This window comes from Homo sapiens, chromosome 15, assembly GCF_000001405.40.
Source record: "Homo sapiens chromosome 15, GRCh38.p14 Primary Assembly".
In the NCBI taxonomy this organism is placed as follows: domain Eukaryota; kingdom Metazoa; phylum Chordata; class Mammalia; order Primates; family Hominidae; genus Homo; species Homo sapiens.
The window spans coordinates 33,813,161-33,835,866 of NC_000015.10; the positions used below are offsets into that span (position 1 = coordinate 33,813,161).

The 22,706-nt window shown below is 42.5% G+C and overlaps 1 protein-coding gene across 19 annotated transcripts in view; it reads left to right on the forward strand.

Moving 5' to 3' along the window:
* RYR3 (ryanodine receptor 3) overlaps nt 1-22,706 on the forward strand; it is a 555,136-nt gene that overhangs the window by 502,194 nt on the left and 30,236 nt on the right. For 11 of the 19 annotated variants that reach the window (XM_047432931.1, XM_017022468.2, XM_017022475.2 and 8 more), the window contains 14 exons: nt 307-419; nt 2,674-2,773; nt 5,418-5,524; nt 6,596-6,647; nt 7,596-7,652; nt 8,110-8,209; nt 8,363-8,442; nt 9,836-9,912; nt 12,443-12,516; nt 13,092-13,109; nt 13,512-13,592; nt 14,039-14,127; nt 17,803-17,931; nt 21,808-21,912. In XM_047432931.1, coding sequence (XP_047288887.1) covers nt 307-419; nt 2,674-2,773; nt 5,418-5,524; nt 6,596-6,647; nt 7,596-7,652; nt 8,110-8,209; nt 8,363-8,442; nt 9,836-9,912; nt 12,443-12,516; nt 13,092-13,109; nt 13,512-13,592; nt 14,039-14,127; nt 17,803-17,931; nt 21,808-21,912 — 1,182 coding nt within the window. Of the gene's footprint in view, nt 1-306; nt 420-2,673; nt 2,774-3,701; nt 3,799-5,417; nt 5,525-6,595; nt 6,648-7,595; nt 7,653-8,109; nt 8,210-8,362; nt 8,443-9,835; nt 9,913-12,442; nt 12,517-13,091; nt 13,110-13,511; nt 13,593-14,038; nt 14,128-17,802; nt 17,932-21,807; nt 21,913-22,706 lie in introns of those variants that run through there. The other 8 variants (NM_001036.6, NM_001243996.4, XM_017022472.2 and 5 more) reach the window with 3 other exon arrangements.

The window sequence follows — 22,706 nt, forward strand, 5'->3', positions numbered from 1 at the left end:
AGGAGACCTCTCCATTATTTCCCCTGCCAGTGTTTTGTGCATTCTTGCCATTAGCTCAAATGCCCTATTTAAGTCCACTACTGTTAGTTAAGCTGCTATTAGGGAATAAATGACTAAAAGCAACTGGGAGAAAGAGGAAAACCTAAGACTTTCACAACTGAAATCATCTGCTCCTGGGTGCATTTTGCTAACTACAGTTGAGAAGCCAAAATTCTTCCAGAATGAAGAAGTCTGGGCTACAGGTGACTAGCTTCTGCCACCAGAAGATCAGCCTAATGTGCACCAACCGATGTGATCTCTTCTCAGGTGGAACAGCCTTTGAGGTCCAAGAAGGCCGTCTGGCACAAACTGTTATCAAAGCAACGGAAACGGGCAGTGGTGGCCTGTTTCAGGATGGCCCCTCTCTACAACCTGCCCAGGCAAGTATTTTGTCTTTTTTCCTGGCATGTAAGCCAGCGATGGGAATGGAGGTATCCTCCCACAGCTGTGCTCTCTCACTCTTAATCCAAGGAATAGAAATTGGAATCCTTGGCCTATGGAGCTATTGCAGTCTGCATAGTATAAGGGCCTGGCTAAGACAATCAAGGTAAGCATAAAAACTGAAACCAGATGAGATTCTCTAGAGCCCATTCCTGTCAGGCTCACCATTTGTACCCTAAAGTCAGCCAAGTAAGCATATGGAAGTACACTACTTTTGCTGAGGTGGGATTCTTGGTTAGCATGTAAAGACTTCTGGAAAAAGAGAAACTGTTTTCTGAAACATTTTACCCCAAATTCCATCAACAGTTCCAATAGTATTTCTCTGCTCAGGAACTTGACACTGAAATTACCATTTCCTCAGCAGGTACAGAAATGTAACTTGAAAATCTTTTAGCACAGTGTACTAGCTGTCAAAATATAGAAAGGCTGCAGATGCCTCAAGAGGCTTGCCAGAGGCACGATGCCTTCGGGTGTTTCAGCTTATACTTTGAAGTAAAATGTATTTGAAGCTTTTGCTGAAAAGTCTGGGACATATCCTTGTCAACATAGGGAATAGTATCAGTGACAGACTGGCCCAGAGTTGACCACCCAGACCGATTCAGTGTCTTTGGTGATGTGGTGACATTCCTGTCCTCAGACTTATTGCAGAGTAGGTATGGTCAGGTCTTGGGTCAATAAACAAAGCTGGTAATTGAATATCAGCCTCTGCTTCACTGACTTATCAAATCAGTAGGAATATTCTCACTTGCTCAGGGAAATTAAACTGACTTAGACAAGTATACTCTGAAGCTTATGTAAATAAATGTGTTTCTTTGGAATATCACATAAAGGACTATTCCTATGCTTGACATTTTGTTTTCATCAAATTGTGGATCTTGGCCATCATTTGTCCAGAGTAGCCTATAACCTCGTCCTGAGCCAACTGGCCACCTGGGCTTTCTTAGGGTCTTTGAAGATAGTTAAGAATGATGGTCTCCGCCGGGCGCAGTGGCTCACTCCTGTAATCCTAGCACTTTGGGAGGCCGAGGCAGGCAGATCACTTAAGGTCAGGAGATTGAGACCAGCCTGGCCAACATGGTGAAACCATCTCTATTAAAAATACAGAAAAAACTTAGCCAAGCATGGTGACATGCACCTGTAATCCCAGCTACTTGGGAGGCTGAGGCAGGAGAATTGCTTGAACCCAGGAGGCGGAGGTTACAGTGAGCTGAGATCACGCTACTGCACTCTAGCCTGGGCAACAGAACAAGACTCTGTCTCAAAAAAAAAAAAAAAAAAAATCAGCCAGGTGTGGTGGCAGGAGCCTATAATCCCAGCTATTTGGGAGGCTGAAGCAGGAGAATCGCTTGAACCTGGGAGGCGGAGGTTGCAGTGAACAGAGGTAACACCACTGCACTCCAGCCTGGGTGACAGAACGAGACTCTGTCTCAAAAAAAAAAAAAAAAGGAATCACAGTCTCTGACACATACCTGCTCCAACAGATCTCTTTCAAGAAACAGATTACTATCTTTGGAAGAGAATGAGGCACCACCAAATCAAGTAGAATTCATGAATGAAAAGATGAAAAGCTCAAGCAGTCATGGGCGTTAAGGCTGCTGAAGTCGTAACAGAAAAGTGAAATTCATAGCCCGTTAGAAAAAGCAAAAGTGCATAGAATTTGTCTTTGTTTTCTGGAAGTGTCGAAACATCAGAAAGTGTTTCCTTCCCTATCTGATTGAGATTTCTACCTGACATTGTGCTGAGTTGGCCTTCGAAAGAGCCTAGCTCGAAAGCACATGTCTCTGGGACCAGGACAGCTAGGCAGAAATTACATCTCTCAAAAACAAGCATTTTTTTCTAAATCCACTGAAGATATTAGTACCATCCTTACATATCTGGGCTGCACCTTCAGTAGTTTTACTCTGTATGGGTAAGAGTAAGTCTAGGAATTCACTATGTCCTTCATGAAGCATGACCGTCCCTAACTCAGTTGTTTTAGAGGGGCTGCTATGGGTGATCTCTCTAGCATGGAGGACTGTAAGTAGATTTCATAACAACAGAGAAGCTGATGATGGAGACAACTTCTCTTCTCCACCTTGTGATCATCTAACCGCACAGAATCTCCCAAACTAAAGGGCTAAAGGGATTTGTTTTATTATGGGAAACTGTCTCTGATGCTAGTTTTTAAAAGAAAACTTGTATGCTTCTCTCCAGACACAAAATTAATAATTTCTTCCTGAGCACCTTTCAACAAGTTTGGCTGGAAAAGGTTAATGAAAAAACTCAGTATGACAGGCTTATACCCATTTTAATGGTAATGTAACCTGTGGAGAGACCTGCTCATTCTCTGCACACTCCTCCTTTATTGACCATGATTTAACGTTACCATAAGAACACGAATTTGTACAATTTTTAGGAAGAATTCTGATTGGTCAGACTTGAAGAAAGATGGCAAGGGCTGTGTCCTACCGAAAACCATGACCGGAGTTTAATGGCTCTGGTGTTGACTTTTATCTTCCTCCCCTCTCCTTCCCTCCTCACCACTGTCCTCACATTTTGTAAACACTTGGCTGCTTTTGCTTTGCAGTGGCTAATATTCCCAGAAGTCAATCCTGGCTTATCGGGAGTGGCTCATGCCAGTTATTCAGTGCACCCACATACCAGGGACATAGCTAGAATCCATGCGGCACACAGAAAATATGCCAACGACGTAACGTGCTTAAACCTTGTCGTGCTAAGTAAAAGCTGGAGCACTTTACCACTGTGGTTACTTGGAGAATGAAAAGAAGCCACATTTTGGTATTTTGGTATCTCTAAGATGAAACCACTGATCATCGGTATGACTTAGATTGGATTACCTAGAAGGGTGATCAGCCTAAAGGAATACCTAAATTGCCATATGAAGCAAATACTTCAGGACTGTTACTTGGCCTAATGATTGATTTCTCATTGGAGAGGAAATGTGATAAAGAGCCTATGAGAACAGAGTAGGATTACAGATAACTGCCATGTCTTGCTAACCATTGTCATTTTCAGAAGGTGCTCTAATATTCAAGACTCGTCATGGTAGAGGGTTCTGGTTTCTTTGAAGTGAGTTCTGTGGTATGCTACTGGCTACCCTGACCAATCAGAAGACAAGAATTGTACAAAAGTCTGTCCTGCTTACTAACCATTAACTGCCCAAACTAAAAGAACAAGTTCCATGGATCCCTCTTGACCTCCCTCTCACCCCTTCCGCTCAGGCACCGCTCTATTAACCTCTTCCTCCATGGCTATCAGAGATTTTGGATAGAAACAGAGGAGTATTCCTTTGAAGAGAAACTAGTACAGGATTTGGCTGTAAGTACTGACTCCCCTGGGAGCAGATATGAGTGTGGATGAATTTGATTTTCGAATTCATGTGTGTGGTTGTAACAGTTAAACATTCACAAGGAATCGTGTGTATACAGTTGAAAAGCACTAACTGTGTAAGTGCTCAGGGGAGGCCCTGCTAATGGTCATAGGAGCCAGAGGATGAATTTTCACTTGGAGTTGCTAATACTGTCATCGTCCTCCTCATTGTCGCTGTTAACAACTAATATTTCTTAAAATGCACCGCCATGTCATGGGGGGTTCATGCTAAGTGAAGTTTTGAGCACCACTGGTTGCAGGAGGCCACCCCAGCCAAAGCCCCACGTTCCTACTCTGTAGTTCTGCTTTGGGGAAGATGCATCTAGATACCCTTCCTGCATCTTACATTTCTATATTTGGCCTTTCAGAAAATTTGGCATGCCTTGTCTCTAACAGACTTCATGCTCTAAAGCCACTTAAAATGACACAAGAGGGGAAAACTTACTGCAGAGGTGCCACAGAGCCTCATTCTGGTTCAGAGAGAAAATAAACCCTCCTTCTCTTTGGCCAGCCCTGTGGTTCTTTTTCTCCTTCTCCCACGAACCTTTTTCTCTTACCACTCACTCTCTCCGTTCATCTTGTCCTGTGTTTCTGATAGTCACTTTTTTCTAAATGTCTTTCACTTTCTATCTTTCCCTGTCACCCTCTGTTTCTTTCCTTCTTTTTTAAAGCCTTTTCCTATTGTTTTCTTTCCCTTTGTCTTTATGTCTTTCATTCTTCCCATATATTCCTGTTGGTGAGAAAGACACTCCGTTGGTTTTCTCAGTTTCTTGATGAGTGTGAAGTTGACAATGAGCGTCACTTCAGCCCTCTACTTCTTCTGAACCATTCATACAACCCATGTAGTTCTCACCAATTTACCAAATACGGTCCACCCTGCTGGCTCTGCCACTGCTAGAAAATTCACTTTTACCTCTGACATTAGCTGTTATTTCTCTTTCCATGAAAAGCGATAAAGAAAAGACCTGATAAAAGGAGAAGGGCAAGGCCTGCAGCTCCAGGATGGCAGCTCTCAGGAGCAACAAGAATTTTAGAATCAAGAGTTAGGTCAGGAAAGAGAGATGTTTTGCTGGGTTGAATCTAGAATAGTATTAGACCCAAAATGGCCCCACTGCTTTGTAACTCTTGCCCCACCTCCATGTCCAGCCCAGCCCTTCAAAAGAAATGTCAGCTGTTGGCCTGAGAGAGCAGTCTCTCAGGTGTCTCTGTGGGGTTTTCCTCCTGAACTCGGGTGCCCAGAGCTTGCATGAGAGGTCAGCTGATTGGAGTCTGTAGCTATTCCCTTTATGGGCAGCCTTTTGCTTTTTATTTTGTTTTAACCTGAAATTGGAATGTTTCTTTGGTTGGCTGTAAAAATAAAAAATATACAAACATATATACACATGTATCTCAAACCTCGCACCTTTAGGGCTTCTATCCTGAAATAAATACATGACGTAGTGGTTTTGTTTTGTGCTTTAGTCTGATGCACTCTGTGCCTTGCGCTTTACCTTCTCTTTGTTCGCATGCCAGTCACGTGGCACGAGATTAAATTCATGCCTAAAACCTATCTGTGTTGGTTTGTGTAGAAATCTCCAAAGGTGGAAGAGGAGGAGGAGGAAGAGACAGAAAAACAACCTGACCCACTACATCAGATCATTCTCTATTTTAGCCGCAACGCTCTCACGGAGAGGAGGTCAGAACCACCAGCTCACCTGCTTCTCCCAGGCACCAGGGATACTTGTGTCCACTCCTGACCTTCTTCTCTCAGACGGCAGTGGGTGGAAAAGGGAAGCTAGATTTGAGCAGCCCTCCTTGCTGCCTTATATTTGGCCATCAAGATATGTCTAGGGAGCCAGGCGTGGTGGCTCACGCCTGTAATCCCAGCACTTTGGGAAGCCAAGGCGGGCGGACCATCTGAGGGCAGGAGTTCGAGGCCAGCCTGACCGACATGGTGAAACACCATCTCTACTAAAACTACAAAATTAGCCGGGCATGGTGGTGCACGCATGTAATCCCAGCTACTCAGGAGGCTGAGGCAGGACAATCGCTTGAACCCGGGAGGCGGAGGTTGCAGTGAGCCGAGATCACACCACTGCACTCCAGCCTGGGCGACAAGAGCAAAACTCCGTCTCCAGAAAAAAAGACATGTCTAGGGAAACTACATCAAGCCACAGCCTGCTCTTCATAATGTCAGACACTGAGCTAAAGATTAAACAGCCTAAAACTATAAACTTCATCTCTGAATTCCATGTTAAGCCCCTGCTGGTTCACATTTTCAGAGTGGTTTCTAAGAATCAGAGTGGGGGAAGGGATTTTCTAATTAATTCACTAGTACTTATAATTTGAGATTTATATGACTCTTAGTCTTTATTGTGGGGTCCAAAGAGTAGCCTGCTAAGGCTGGGCATGGTGGCTCATGCCTGTAATTCCAGCATTTTGGGAGGCCAAGGCAGGCAGATCACTTGAGGTCAGGAGTTTGAGACCAGCCTGGCCAATATGGTGAAACCCCATCTCTACTAAAAATATAAAAAAGTTAGCTGGGCATGGTGGCAGGCACCTGTAATCCCAGCTACTGGGGAGGTTGAGGTAGGAGAATCACTTGAATCCAGGAGGCGGAGGTTGCAGTGAGCCGAGATCGCGTCATTGCACTCCAGCCTAGGGGACAAGAGAAAACTCTGTCTCAAAAATAAATAAATAAATAAATAAATAAATAAATAAATAAATAAATAAAAAGCCTGCTAAATATTTCCTCCATTCTTTCCAGCAAATTGGAAGACGACCCTTTGTACACCTCCTATTCCAGCATGATGGCCAAGGTACACCCAGGTTTTCTGCCCATTGTCTCTGTCTTTCTGTCTTCCCTTAGATTTCTTTAGGCGCATGAAAATTGTCATGTTGAATAGCAGGCCTGGGACTTTGTCATGACATAGGTTTCAGGCATTGCACAATTCATGTGCCATAGAGATGATATTAGTAAACCAATTCACCGTCTTCCTAAGGAAACCTTGAAGCTTTGCAGAAACAATGGGTGCTGGTGGATAGGTTCACACTGACATTTCTAAAGCCAGCTAAATGGGGCTTAGGCATACAGAATACCCTTGTGTTTTCACTCAATGTTCAGGATACATCAGACAGTTCAAACACATCCACAGGTGAAGGTTAGAAACTAGAGAGAGCTCCCGGTGCTCTGGAAGAGGCAGTGTGACCAGAAATGTTCTTTGTCACCTAGAAAGATGGTGACCTCTGGAATGCTGAGCAAATAAGGGAAACTTTGATGTCAGGCAGAAAGGATGTGTTGGGGTATAGGAGCACCTATTCCTTGATCTAGCTGTACCACAGGGCCCCAGTGGGAAGAGGCGCTTTAGGATTCACATCCTAGGTGATGTGTCTCCAATCTTAATGCCATGCCCTTGGGGCTGTATCTAGGAAGTGGCAGCTCCCTGCATTCCTGTCTCCCATTTACACCAGAACCTTACTAAGGTAGAAGAGTTCAAGTCTGTGGTTAAACCAGCTAGGTCACCATTGATGATGTGAGCTCTGTGTTCTCATTTCTCATTTCTGAACTCTATGGTAACTGCGAAGATGGCATTTACAGGAGAAATGTTGCCCAGCAGTGGCCAAAATGTTCCTGGCTTTACACAACGCTGAGGTCCTGAGGTGCCTGTGAATTACGTCCTGTCCCCTGCCCTTGTAGAGTTGTGTTTATTAGATTTCCCTTTAATTTGATTGTCTGTCTTCTCCCTTCCCTGCTCCATGAAATCCAGAGTTGTCAAAGTGGTGAGGATGAAGAAGAAGATGAAGACAAGGAAAAAACATTCGAAGTAAGTTCTCATGAAGAATAAAAATAGAGCCACCCTCCAAGGCCAATAGGCCAGGCCTTCAGAGGTGGGTGCTGACATTAGCCTATTGAGCATTTCCTGCATTCAGCCAGAAATACTCAAGTTGACCCCTCAGCAGGTTTCCCTGTGTAACAGAACATGGAAAACAAACACATTTTAATGTTGCGTTGCTTCCCACAATTATGGTATCCAAAAGGAATGGACTGTGTGTTCTATCAGTACAAAAAATGGAAAATGTACCATCAAAATAAGAGTGATGGGTAGACAGTTTTAGAAAGCTGGCTAGTGTCTGGAAATAAACTTCAGAAGTCTGCTTTATCCAAGTTGATGTGTGTTACCTTCCTTAGGTAACTGGAAAATTCTCTCTCACCTCACTATGGGTGAACTCCCTGGTGCTGGGTAGGAACCAATCTTTCCCTGTGATTTTTTTTCCCCCCAGGAGAAAGAGATGGAGAAGCAAAAAACCCTCTATCAGCAAGCTCGGCTGCATGAGCGTGGTGCTGCAGAGATGGTCCTTCAGATGATAAGCGCTAGCAAAGGTGATTTCCCTAGTTTCTGGATGGGCTTATGTAACTTCCACAAAGATATCATGCTGTGACATACAGCCATTATTAAAGAGCCCTGCTAAGGCCCAGGAGGCATGATTTACCATCTGTTTCCTTGGTGATTCAATCGAATCTTCACCATGGCAGGTGAGATGAGCCCCATGGTGGTTGAGACGCTGAAGCTGGGGATCGCCATTCTGAACGGAGGCAATGCTGGTGTGCAACAGGTAACGGGAACTTGCAGCGGCTGGGCAGGCTCCCGGGGTATTCCCATTTGACACCTGTCATGCTTCAGGGAAGAGGAGTTGACTGCTACAGAGGGGAGCCACCCAGAATCACTTAGCTCACGTTTGTCCTTAGTGGCCAGTTATATCAGAGTAGCTGGGAACGCAACATGGCTGGGAATCTGCAGGCAAATGTGTCTTTAATAAAGAGGTTTTATCCAGGATTAAAGATAAAAACATTTAGTTTTTCATCAGTAGATAACTTTCTGTATAAATATTCTCCAGAAAAATTTCCTAAGAGTTAGGTTTTTACTTTAGCCCTTTATTTTCACTAATTAGCTGCCTTTAGTATGAGCAAGGAGCCTCATCAGTTAAGTGGAACTGATAAACTCACAAACCTGTTATTCGTTCGTTCATCCATTCATTCATTCATTGAGCAACTGTTTACTGACTGATGACCATGCCAGGCTCTGCTGCAAGGGCTGAGGGTGTAGCAGTGAATAATACAAATAAAAACTCCTGCCATCGTGCAGCCTACACTCTAGTGAGCATTAAATGCGACAACACATAGAAGCATACAACCAAGTACCTGACACATGGTATTTCTTCAACAATCTGAATTGGAACAGGCTGCAGAAGACAGGAACATACCGGTGTTTCTCAGGCACTCCGGGTTCTGGTTAAAAGCATCTGTGTGTACAGGGAAGTGAAATTTCAAACAGACCCTTGGCATTCATAAGGGTTATATCCCAGGGCCTGTGAGAGTCTCCAGATTCACAACCACCATTACTGCATATAGCTTTTCCCAGCCTTTAACTCATCCCCCTAAAGTTTCTCCAATTTTTTATTAAAAACTGTCATTTTCTAAGTTATCCTTCACTTTCTGTTCCCTTCTACCACCTACCACGAGATGTCAGTTGACTTTCTTATGGGGCCTTTTGTTTATTTTTTAAAAAACAAAATTTTTATTATGTCAAACAAAGTTCCTACCTTCCAGTAAAAGAGAACACAGGAAACAAAGCCTCATTGTGAAAGAAATACTGAGCTTTCAGCTAGGCTCCTTACTGGCTAAGCTCCTTGCTCCTCTGTGCCAAATTCATAGCATGAGCTATTCAGATTATAACTCAGCTTCGTGATACATTACTATATCACGGCCTTGGTGCTTGTTCCCAAATAGAAGGGACTTCAATCAGTAGGTCTATGAATGTCAATTCTGCCCTAGAAGAAATGCCAGTGGGCGTTTATAAAATAAACATGATCTACCCCATGGGACTCTGATTCCATAAGCAGAGCGTCCAACTCAGTGTGGCTGGGGATTTCTCCATCAGGATTAGGAGGGTCAGCTCTGTGGTATAGTTTTCATCGCTTTTCCCCTTACAACGTGTCTCCCTTGCAGAAAATGCTAGATTACCTAAAGGAGAAAAAGGATGCTGGATTCTTTCAAAGCCTTTCTGGTCTTATGCAGTCTTGCAGGTAAATGCGGGAAAACTACCATAGCATTTAAAAAACTCTTCCCTCTAAGCATAGGAGGCAGGGGAAGGGGAGCACAAAATATACTGGCCTACCATAGAATTCTTGAGAGAGGAAGCACCTACTTAGAAAGCTAAGAGAGTAGGTGTTGTTCCTCCAGCCTTCAGGATGACAATTCAGCTAACATTCAGAGGGGAAAATGTGATTGCCATTAGCCACATACACACGCTCCCCCACTGCTGTTGTGTTTAATCTCCCTTCCTTACCTCCACGTTTATGTTGCTTTCCCAGCAGGCTCAGTGTGCGCATTGAGTTTCTCATCAAACATGTATGTCCATAAAAGTCAAACCAGGAAAGAATGGAAAAGGGGGGATTCCTGACTATGATTCAGGGCTATGTTTTATTAAACCCACTAGGTACTTTGTTAATCTTTGTCCTTAACAATTCTTTGAGCTTGAATATGTGTTAGGGTAGTGTGTATTTTGACACATCCATTTTGACAGCGGTACATCCTGGCATGGGAACATTTTGACATAGCCTAAAAAACAAGGCTTTGAACTTTCCATTCATATTATTAAGCTGTTTAAGCCACCCCTCATGGCTGAATGGCTCTGACACATAAATAATATATAATCCAGAGTCATAGGTCATGATACTTGCTGAATTCAGAGATGAGCCAGAATCTAAGAAAAGTGTCAGCTTATTGTCTAAGATTCATATGTATTTGGATAGTCTGCAGATAATTCTAAAAGAAATTAAACTTTTAATTACCTAGTTCATTTGCCTCCAATTATGCTTTCCATTTAAAAATGTGGAGGATGGTCATCCTTTCTCTTGGTGGACTACATACTTTTGCTAACCATATTTCACTGGGTAAAATATCGTACCCTGGGCAGTAGGGAGCATACGTGAGCTGCAGTATAATTCTTTAGTCTCAGCTCTGTGGGGCTTTTCCCCACCAACAGTCTATTCATTTATTATCTCTCTCAGGAAAACAAAAAGGAATATTTCCAGGCCTGCCTCTCTGAAGCTAAAATAGTACATATGAACTCAGAGATGGCAAAAATCAAGGCAACTCAATTCCATATTGCTCATAAAGTTATCCATTTACTTTCTAACAGTTCTCTCAGTATCCTGTAATACTTAATATTGCTAAACTCATTTATAATGACAGCTTGGAGAGACAGGTGATATACGCTTAGATGCCAGCTGAGTTCTAACAGAAGTTTTAAGATGTCTTACTGCTGGGTTTTTTATGATTATAAGAACAATATATGTTTTTTAAAAATTTAAGCAGTAGGGAAGTTAAAACATTCAAAATGGGTATTTAGGAATGGAGTGAGTAAGGATCAGAAATGTGTGTTGCATAGATTCAGATTCAAAACTGCTGCTTCAGAGCAACTATGTCCAAATGTTCTTTCCCATGTTTTCCTCCCCTGACGGCTAAACCAAAGTAGAAGGATAGTTTTGTGTTGATGAGCAAGCCCTTTTGCCAGCAGAATCTGGGAAAAACAAACAAATGGCAATAGAGATTTCACTGTCTACCTAAATCATTTTTACCTAAATGATGAAATTAGGTAAATGAAACTTACCTAAATCACAAAACATGTGACTCCTTAAAAAGAAAACAGGAAGGCCAGATTTTTCTCCATGCCTTTGCCCCGTGGTAGAAGGAAAGCTAAGTTTTGCAGAGTCTTAATGGACTTAGCCATAAACTTTCCTAAGAGCTATGTTCTATGTTCTATGAAACCTTTCAGATTGGGGAATAAGTTAGACTCCGTTAGTAAAATGGAATGAGCCCCACTTAGAAATAACATGATCATATAGTGGTCTCATCAGCAAGCTTTGTGGTTGCACTATGGCTTCCTGGCTGAGTAAAATTTGGCAGTGGCTGTGACTAGGAAGGTTGTGGGGAGTAGGGACAAAAATGAAGGCCAACTTGTCATAAATTCAGGAATACCTGGAGGCACCATTCCCTGTGGAAAGCGGAACCTCAGCTTCCATAGGCTTTTGCATGATGTAGAATCATAAAAGGGCGTGGCCCTTTGAAATCTGGAAGTTTGTAGCTCATCCTAAGCTCTGGAAACCACAATTCCATGTGATTCTCAGAGAAAGTAGGTAAAGGTGGGAGGCAAACATTAATCAGTGCTGTTTAAAGTAAACTTTCCCTCGAGAAATCTTAAAAACAGATTATTCCTTCTTTATTTGGAAAACTTTTCTAAACCTTCACATCAAAGTGAAGACCTTGAGTCTTCACCAAAAGACTCAAACTGGACAGACAATGAGAGTCACCGTAAGTGTTCATGACCCCTCTACCTGTATGTAACAAAGTCTGTGAGCTATAGGCACCTAAGACAACACTGCTCGGCACAAAACCAAGGAATCATTAGACTTGCAACCACCCTGGAATGTGTTAGTTTATTTACGATAACACAGGGGCAGGATATGCTTAGTCGATAGGTACATTAACATTAGAAATCTGCTTTCCCAGCGTGCGTAGCCCTGAACCTTGTTTCTTTCTGTCTATTAAAAGTGTCCTTGATTTGAATGCATTTGAGAGGCAGAATAAAGCTGAAGGCCTGGGGATGGTGACTGAAGAAGGAACACGTAAGTAACTAATGAATGTGAAGGCCATTCTCTTCCTGATTAAAATCTTTTTTTTTTTTTTTTTTTTTTTCCCCATACAGAGTTTCGCTCTTGTTGCTCAGGCTGGACTGCAGTGGCGCGATCTCACCTCACTGCAACCTCTGTCTCCTGGGTTCAAGCACTTCTCCTGCCTCATCCTCCCGAGTAGATGGGATTACAGGCTCCCACCACCACAGCCAGCTAATTTTTTGTATTTTTAGTAGAGGCAGCATTTCATCATGTTGGCCAGGCTGGTCTTGAACTCCTGACCTCAGGTGATCCACCCCACCTTAGCCTCCCATAGTGCTGGAATTACAGGCGTGAGCCACCGCACCTGGCCATTTAAAATCTTAATTACCTATTTCTGGTCAGAGCTCATGTCTTTGCTTAGTATGCAAGGACTTGCTCTGTTTCAGTAAAATGCTTCCATCGGTAGCTTTAATAAAGCTATCATCTAGGATGGATGTGTTCACATAGCCAGTTTTAACTAAAGACAGTTTATCATGATGTTTACAGTTTTCTTACTTTCTATTCTTCTGTTTTTCTCTCATTACCAGTCATTGTTCGGGAACGTGGTAAGTTTCAGTTTCTGGCCTGAGTTCCTACCGTGTGTGAATCCTAGGAGATCTCATTTAATTGCCTCAGCACAGAAACATTTTAGGCTTGGTAGTTGCATGTTGAGTTGAACTCAGCAGTTTGGTACTTAATTAAAGAAGTGTCTTCCATCTGTAAAGCATGGGTTATGGACCGTGAGCCATTTACTCTCCTTATCCAGTTGTCTTCATTACAAATGCATTTATTGGGCATTGTGCCTTGCAGCCCAGCTCAGTTTAATTGGGCTTTTCACCATTCATCCAAAGTTCCTTTTCCAAACCATTCTGACACAACTCCTTTATCATCTGTGTAGTCATTTACATTAGAAAGTATTCTCTGGTGAGAAGCCAAACCAATGCTCATCAACGTTCTGTGTTTTCAAGGTGAAAAAGTACTCCAGAATGACGAGTTCACGCGTGATCTCTTTAGATTCCTACAGTTACTTTGTGAGGGACATAACAGTGGTGAGTGGAACAGATTGATCTGCCAAGGAAACACAGCACTCGGGCAAAACTAGAATTCCGTTCAGTATGCCCCATTTGATGCAACTAGTTGTTAACTCAAGGACATCAGTTAATGCGTTCCTCAATAAGAAACTATGTAAATATCATGGCTAGTGATATTTAGTGCCACCAAGGCTAAGCTGCTTCCAGAATCTTCAGATGAGAAATCTAAATACCCAGCCCTTTCCATCTAGCCCCTTGGGGCTCGTTAAGTCCAGTTTCTGGTGTCCGCAGGTTGGGGGGGTGCTCAGAGCAGAGCTCTGCCCTGCAGGATCTGCCATGACCCAAACATGGTATTCTTGTAAGCCTTTTCACATAGAATGTCTTATCTGAGCTCAGCTGAGAGGGCATGCTTGGCCCCCTCGGCATGGCAGGGACAAGCTCTGACCCAGCACTGGTGCTCTCAGACTTTCAGAACTTCCTGCGGACTCAGATGGGCAACACCACCACCGTGAATGTCATCATCAGCACTGTGGACTACCTTCTGCGTCTGCAGGTGAGTGGGAGGGCCTTGGACAATGGGACCTCTCACCTTTGCTTCCAGAAGATAAACACAGTTACACAGGGTCAGGGACAGCCCAGGATACAGTCAAGCCCCTATAAGGAAGGCGTTGTAACGTGTATCCACAGATGCATGGGAAGTCCAGTGCCCAAAGAGTATATTTGAAGACAGAAGTGGGAGACGTGGTTAAACACCAAATCGTCTGTTATGAAATGCTGGTTTACTTTAGTTTTGCCAGTGAAAACCAATCTGTGTTGCTATAAAACAACCAAGAGCTATAACACAACCAAGAGCTCTAAAATAACCTGTGAATGAGAACAGATTTCACTAGAAAAAAAGACTTACACGAGATGATAGGAATAGGATGAGTTTACAAGTTCGTGTTGAGAAGTCAGATGGTTTGTTTCAAGGAAGCCCAAATTATATTGAAAAAATCTACACAAACCTATTAACAAAAAGGGATTTTTTTCCTCTTTGCTGATTCCTCATCCTGGTTCTGCCACTTACTGGTTTGTAACCTAGAGCAATATGTTTAATGTGCCTGTGTTCCAGTTTTTTCATCAGTAAAAGGGGTAGGACCTATGCCATAGGGTGGTAGTAAAGATTGAGAGGTTGGATACAGGCATACCTCATTTTATTGCAGTTGGTATTATTGTGCTTCACAGATGCTGTGTGTTTTACAAATCGAAGGTTTGTGGTAACCCTGCATCAAGCAAGTCTATCTGTGCCGTTTTACCAACAGCATTTACTCACTTGGTGTCTCTGTCACATTTTGATGATTCTCACAATATTTCCAACTTTTCACTATTATATCTATTATGGTGATCTGTGATCAGTGATCTTCGATGTTACTATTGTAATTGTTTTGGGGTGCCATGAACTATGCCCTTGTAAGACAGCAAACTTAATGTTGCATGTGTTCTCACCATTCCACCAACTGTTCCTCCATCTCCCTCCTTCTCCTCAGGCCTTCCTATTCCCTGAGACATAACAGTATTGAAGTTAGGTCAGTTAATTTCCCTACAGTGGCCTCCAAGTGTTCAAGTGAAAGGAAGAGTCACACATCTCCCACTTTAAATCAAAAGCTGGAAATGATTAAGCTTAGTAAGGAAGGCATGTTGAAAGCTAAGACAGGCCAAAGGCTAGGCCCCTTGCACTAAACAGCCAAGCTATGCAAAGAAAAAGTTATTAAAGGACATTAAAAGGGCTGCCTCAGTGAGCATATGAATGATAAGAAAGCAAAACACCCTCATTACTGAAATGGGGACAGTGCGAGTGGTCTGGATAAAAGGTCAAACCAGCCACAACATTCTCATAAGCCACAATCTAATCTAGAGCAGGGCTCTAACTCTCTTCAATTCTATGAAGGCTGAGAGAGGTAAGGAAGCTGCCAAAGAACAGTTTGAAGCTAGCAGAGTTTGGTTCATGAGGTTTAGGGAAAGAAGTCATCTCCAAAACAAAAGTGTAAGGTAAAGCAGCAAGTGCAGATATAGAAGCTGCAGCAAGTTACCCAGAAGATCTATCTAGGATAATTGATGAAGGTGGTCACACTAAACAACAGATTTCCCACGTACATGAAACAGCCTTCTCCTAGAAGAGAGATACCATCTAGGACTTTCATAGTTAGAGAGGACAAGCCAATACCTCACTTCAGAGCTTCAAAGGACAGGCTGACTTTCTTATTAGGGGCAGCCCAGCTGGTAGCTTTAAGTTGAAGCCACTGCTCGTTTACCATTCCAAAAATCCTAGGGCCCTTAAGAATTATGGTAAATCTACTCTGCCCATGCTCTATGTATGGAAAAACAAAGCTTGGATTGTCATCTGTTTACAGCATGATTTACTATTTTAAGCCCACTGTTGACACCAACTGCTCAGAAAAAAAAAAAGATTCCTTTCAAAATATTACTGTTGTTGACTATGCACCTGGTTCCAAGAGCTCTGATGGAGATATACAAGGAAATGAATCTTTTTTTCATGCCTGCTAATACAAGATTTATTCTGCAGCCCATGGATCAAGGAGTAATTTTGACTTGCAAGTCTTATTTTTTAAGAAATGCATTTCGTAAGGCTACAGCTGCTACAGATAGTGATTCCTCTGATGGATCTGGGCACGGTAAGTTGAAAACCTTCTGGAAAGGATTCAACATTGTAGATGTCATTAAAAAACATTGTGGGCCAGGCCCAGTGGCTCGCATCTGTAATCCTAGGACTTTGGGAGGCCAAGGCAGGAGGATCACAAGGTCAGGAGATCGAGACCATCCTGGCTAACACGGTGAAACCCCATCTCTACTAAAAATACAAAAAAAAAAATTAGCCGGGCATGGTGGCGGGTGCCTGTAGTCCCAGCTACTCGGGAGGCTGAGGCAGGAGAATGGCGTGAACCCGGGAGGCGGAGCTTGCAGTGAGCCAGATTGCGCCGCTGCACTCCAGCCTGGGCAACAGAGCGAGACTCTGTCTCAAAAAAAAAAAAAAAAAATTTTGATTCATGGGAGAAGGTCAAATATCAACATTAACAGGACTTGAGGAAGTTGATTGCAACCCTTGTGGGTGATTTGGAGGGGTTTGAGACTTCAGTGGAGGAAATAAATGCAGACGTGTTGGAAATAGCAAGAGAACTAGAATTAGTAGTGGAGCCTGAAGAACATGAACCTGAATTGCTGCAATCTCATGATCAAACTTTGACAAACGAAGAGTTTCCTCTCATGGATGAGCAAAGAAAGTGGTTTCTTGAGATGGAGTCTTCCTGGTGAAGATGCTCTAAACATTGTTGAAATGCCAAAAAGGGATTTAAAATTGTAAACTTAGTTGATAAGGAGTGGCAAGGTTTGAGAAGACTGACTCCAATTTTGAAAGAAGTTCTGTGGGTAAAATGCTATCAAGCAGTACATGCGTCTTTCATGAAAGGAAGTCAGTTGATGCAGTTAACACTGTCTTATTTCAAGAAATTGCCACAGCCACCTCAACCTTCAGCAGCCACCACCCTGTTTAGTCAGTAGCCATCAACATCAAGGCAAGACCTTTCACCAGCAAAAAGATGGTGGAACTTACAACTTGCTGAGAGCTCAGGTGATTGTTAGCACTTTTTAGCAATAAAGTATTTTTTAATGATGGCACGTACATTGTTTTTTAAAGACATAATGCTATTGCACACTTAATAGACTACAGCATATTGTAAACATAACTTTGATGTACGCTGAGAAATCAACATTTTGTATGACTCACTTTATTGTAATGTTCACTTTACTGTAGTTTATCTGTAATCAAACTCGGATTATCTCTGAATCTCTACATGCCTGTATATGTAATGTACTCAGAACAACGTCTGGCACTTACAATATTAGCTATTATGTTGTTGCTGTTACTATGATTATTTGGATAATTACCATTATCTTCACATATTTCACATTGAGTAAATTATCCTATTTCATAGTCTCCAAGTTCCAGCTGAAGGCAGTCCTCACTCCTATCTATTCTTTCCTCTGCAGGGATATTTGTGCATGAAAGATCCTAGAGACCTGGTATCTCTGCACTTCTTCACAGGGTCCCTGGCTCCTGTCAGAGCAAAGAGGTCATAGAGATGCAGGATTATCATGTACCCTTCCCAAACACCGAGTTTAGCTTCACTGACTGAAGTCTGAGAAATACTAAGCTCTACTCATTTGTTTTTAGGAATCAATCAGTGATTTCTACTGGTATTATTCAGGGAAGGACATCATTGATGAATCTGGACAGCACAATTTTTCCAAAGCTCTGGCAGTCACCAAGCAGATTTTCAATTCTCTTACAGAATACATCCAGGTATGTGCTACAGAGTGCATGGTTGAAAACAAAGAGAACATTGTTGATATGCCTGTATTCTATATTCCCTACAGAATACTTGATTGTACACAGTGCACTATCCATCCAGCCCTAATGCTGACAATTTTTATTTTCTCTAAATAGGAAGCAATAGTACCTGCATTCCACAAGCAGCTATAGTTTGGGGTCCCCCCACTGGACCTGTTTATAATGTTCACACTTTATTTGCATTTATCTAGCTACATTTTGCTTTCCCTCTTAAACTAAAAATTTTTCATGGAAAGAAAATGTCTTACTCAAAACTCTTTATATCTAGAAAAATGTCTGGCATATATCTGTTCAGTAAGCATGGAGAGTGGAGTGGAGAAATGATTCATAGAATGAAGGAATTAAGGGATAAATGATGTTCTCTTGATGGAGATTAAAAACAGGATCCATGAGATCCTACTGATTTGTCAGAAATTAACTCTGGAAGAAGTAACTTCAGAAGCGCACAAACTACATGCAGTGGCAGTCAAACCCGCAAGTGTATTTCATGTTAACTGTCTAGATCTTGCTGCAGTCTTTCTCTATTCATAGTATTTTCTATTCATTGTCTATGGTGGTCTAGCTACTTTAGAAAAGGAACAGAGGATATATTCAGGCATAATTTGCTATAAAATTAGTAGGCGTATCATTACCGTCGGTGATACAAGATTTTTTTTTAAAGCAAAAGTAATACTTCATCTTCAGATTACCATAATCAGGAGACTCATGAATAGGGCTTTTATTCATTCATTCATCAAAACGCTCAGTTTGTACTCTGCGCTGTGGTTCATGAAAAGAAGCACAGTATATTGCCTCTACCCGTAAAGAGCTTACAGTGCAATTGAGAAAATACATATGCACAAGGAAAATTATTCAATATAAGATGATCATACAGCCAGATGCGGTGGCTCATGCCTGTAATCCTGGCACTTTGGGAGGCTGAGGCGGGTGGATTGTCTGAGCTCAGGAGTTCGAGACCAACCTGGGCAATATGGTGCAATCTCGTCTCTACTAAAATACAAAAAATTAGCCAGGCATGGTGTCGTGCGCGTGTAGTACCCGCTACTCGGGAGCCTGAGGCAGGAGAATCACTTGAACCCGGGAGGCAGAGCTTGCTGTGAGCTGAGATCGCGCCGCCGCACTCCAACCTGGGCGACAGAGCAAGACTCAGTCTCAAAAAAAAAAAGAAAAGAAAAAATCATACCTGATTTAAAATAATCATATATACTGTGCTTAATTAAGAACCACATATGTGGCCGGGCACGGTGGCTCACGCAAGTAATCCCAACTCTTTGGGAGGCCAAGGTGGGCAGATCACCTGAGGTCAGGAGTTCAAGACTAGCCTGGCCAACATGGCGAAACCCCGTCTCTACTAAAAAATACAAAAATTAGCTGGGCGTGTTGGTGGGTGCCTGTAATCCCAGCTACTCAGGAGGCTGAGGCAGGGAGAATTGCTTGAACCTGGGAGGCAGAGGTTTCAGTGAGCCGAGATCGCGCCATTGCACTACAGCATGGGTGACAGAGCGAGACTCTGTCTCAAAAAAAAAAAAAAAACCCTACATACGTATGAGTTCAGAGGAAAGCAAGCCCCTTAAGAGCCAAAGGGGCCAGGTGCAGTGGCTCACTGGGGCCTGTAATCCCAGCACTTTGGGAGGTCAAGGTTGGTGGATCACCTGAGGTCAGAAGTTCGAGAGCAGCCTGGCTAACATGGTGAAACCCCATCTCTACTAAAAATACAAATTAGCTGGGTATGGTAGCAGGTGCCTGTAATCCCAGCTACTCAAGAGGCTAAGGCAGGAGAATCGCTTGAACCCAGGAGGCAGAGGTTGGAGTGAGCTGAGATTGCACCTTTGCACTCCAGCCTGGGCAACAAAACTCTGTCTCAAAAAAAAAAAAAAAAAAAGAGCCAAAGGGCTCCGAGTCTCCATAGGACCACGTAGGCTATGGATAGATGAAGAGGAGGAAGTACATTCTGTGTCAGTGATTTGGAGAAGTTAGAGATAGGATTATGCGTGGCTTTATAAGAAATAATGTCGGCAATTATATCCATCTTGCTGAGACAGAAGACATAGGTGAGGAAAGAAGTGGACAATGTTTTTTACCTTTTCCTGTACACCTTCATTTCTTTCCCAAAGAACTTTTTATATTCCAAGAGTCCAAGAGTTTTTAGTGACTTTTTTTTGTTTTTACTGGTAATATGACTGAGCCAAAACTTGTTCTATGAAAAATATTAAATTCTCATCAAATAAAGATCCATGTGATGAGCCAACTGGCACAGTCAGATCATATTTGCTCATTAAAAGAAACACAAAACTAAGACTGTCAACTTGAAAAGGAGGATTTTGAGGGGAGATATATCCTTGTCACTCAAGCGTTATAAGGACATGAAGTGATAAACCTAAAAATAAGTTACTGATCTGAAGTTTCACAAAATGCAGTGTACCTAAGGAGATCATTGAATATATTTGATAAGCATCTGATTTGATCTCTGCAAAATCCATCCTTATCTTCAGAACTTCCCATGGAGCACGAACCCAAAAGTAAAGGAGAAGCTCATTTTTGGTGAATGTGTTTCTTTCAGAAACCAGCTTTGTTACAGAAAGAATCTAATGGTTTCTAGGGATCAGACACTGAATGTACATAAACAGTGATTTTTAACAAACTTACGTGATTTGGGAATGCAGGCAGTATTTCTCCTCACCTTTTAAACCTTGGGAATCCTGCCAAGACTTTTCTAGAAATTAGGGTAATATATGTGTTCCTTTTAGAACTTTCTTATTGAGTAATTTGGAGATTGGTTAAAGGGTAGAAAAAAATAGACTGTAAAGAAAAGATAAGAAATGTTGGCTCAATAATGATCTTTAAAAAGAGTGAGATTATTGACCGCGCACTGTGGCTCATGCCTGTACTCCCAGCACTTTGAGAGGCTAAGGCGGGTGGATCACTTGAGGCCAGGAGTTTGAGACCAACCTGGCCAATGTGACAAAACCCTGTCTCTACTAAAAATATAAAAAAATCAGCCAGGCGTGGTGGCACATGCCTGTAATCTCAGCTACTTGGGAGGCTGAGTCACAAGAATCATTTGAACCCAGTGAGCAGAGGTTGCAGTAAGCCGAGATCATGCCACTGCACTCCAGCATGGGTGACAGAGCAAAAATCTGTCTTAAACACACACACACACACACACACACACACACACACACACAGTGAGATTAACATGGAAAATGCAAACTAAGTTATTCCTCTACATTTGGCTTTCAGAAAAGTTCGTCAGAGATGCTATTATATATGAAGTTTAGGTTAATAAGAAAATCCTAGACGTGGTTGAATGCTAAGATTATTACACAGATTTCTTTTCTTTTTTTTTTTTTTAACTTAATTAGATAGCTGTGTGGTTATCAGCATGTGTAACTTTGCCTGGAAACAATAGGTAGATGAGGGCCTGGTTTTCACACTGTGCTTCGCAGCACCCTTGATCTCCTCCAAAGGCCTCTGAGGCCAAGGTGAGGGTGGGGAGTGTGCCCTTCAGCCCTGTGTCAACCACAACATTTCACTGTTTTAAATATTGTTCTCCAGTGTAAGCTTTTGTTTTAAGAACTCATTCTGAGGCTAAAAGAAAGTATCTGAAAATCACTGGACTGTGAAATCCCTAGTGGTTTTTCCTAGATATGGTATCCTATAATCAGGAAAAGAAAAAAGTAATAATCCTGGGAAAATACTGAGCTATGAAATATTTGACTTTTGGAAAGTCTATCTGCTCATATAAGTAGGTATCAGATGCCCTTACTAGACAGGTTTCAGAGCAACTTGTGATGTTTAAGTGACATAAGAATGTCCTCTTCTCTGCAGGGCCCTTGCATTGGTAATCAACAGAGCCTGGCTCACAGCAGGCTGTGGGACGCAGTGGTTGGCTTCCTCCATGTCTTTGCTAATATGCAGATGAAACTCTCTCAGGTACTGTGGCCCATTCCCTGCACGTGTCATTGTTGTGAAATGCTAAGTCAGTCCTCACTCCTTGGTGTTCCCATTGTGATGTGGCTGCTTGATCAAAGGCTGGACAAGCCATGCATATTAGGTCTCAGTTTTTTAAACTGAAGGCCAAAATGGGAGATGGAAATGAATGCCTCGGAGGGGCGCGGGGTCCCAGACAGGCTTTTGCATGAACGCAGCTTCCTTCTTTGTGTCTCACCAACCTACCCTTATTATTGCCTCAACATTTGCTTTCTGTGGTGCTAATCCTTTCTGCTTCCTTGCCACCATTTCGTCAACTTACAAACACTCTACCAGCCCCGTCTGACTTGTCCCATGTTGCATGTCTCTGTAATCCACATCCCTCTTCTCTCTCACTCCTGCTTCCTCCTCCCTCCCTCCCTGTCTCTGCCTCTCCTTCTCACTCCCCATCTCTCTGGCAAGATGAATCAGAACCGCTCAGAGCATTTATTATGAACAAATAAATGTAGCATATGTAGCAGTTTATTGCCTCTCTCCATGGCAACACATGAGGGAGACCTTCAGGAGGTATTTGAGGCTGATTAGAGTAACATTTGCAGCTTTAACTTAAATCATGTGTATCTAAAATTTTCAAGGCTGTCACATCTGCCTCCTCTCTTCTGGAATGTGCTATTTAACCTTTCATTTTTCCCCTTTTGACTCTGGCCTTACGGGAGGAGAGAGTTCCTGGGAGGGCTGCAATTTGACAGTAAGATGTCCATTCCTGTGTCAGCTGGGCAGTGTAGTGTAGTCTCGAG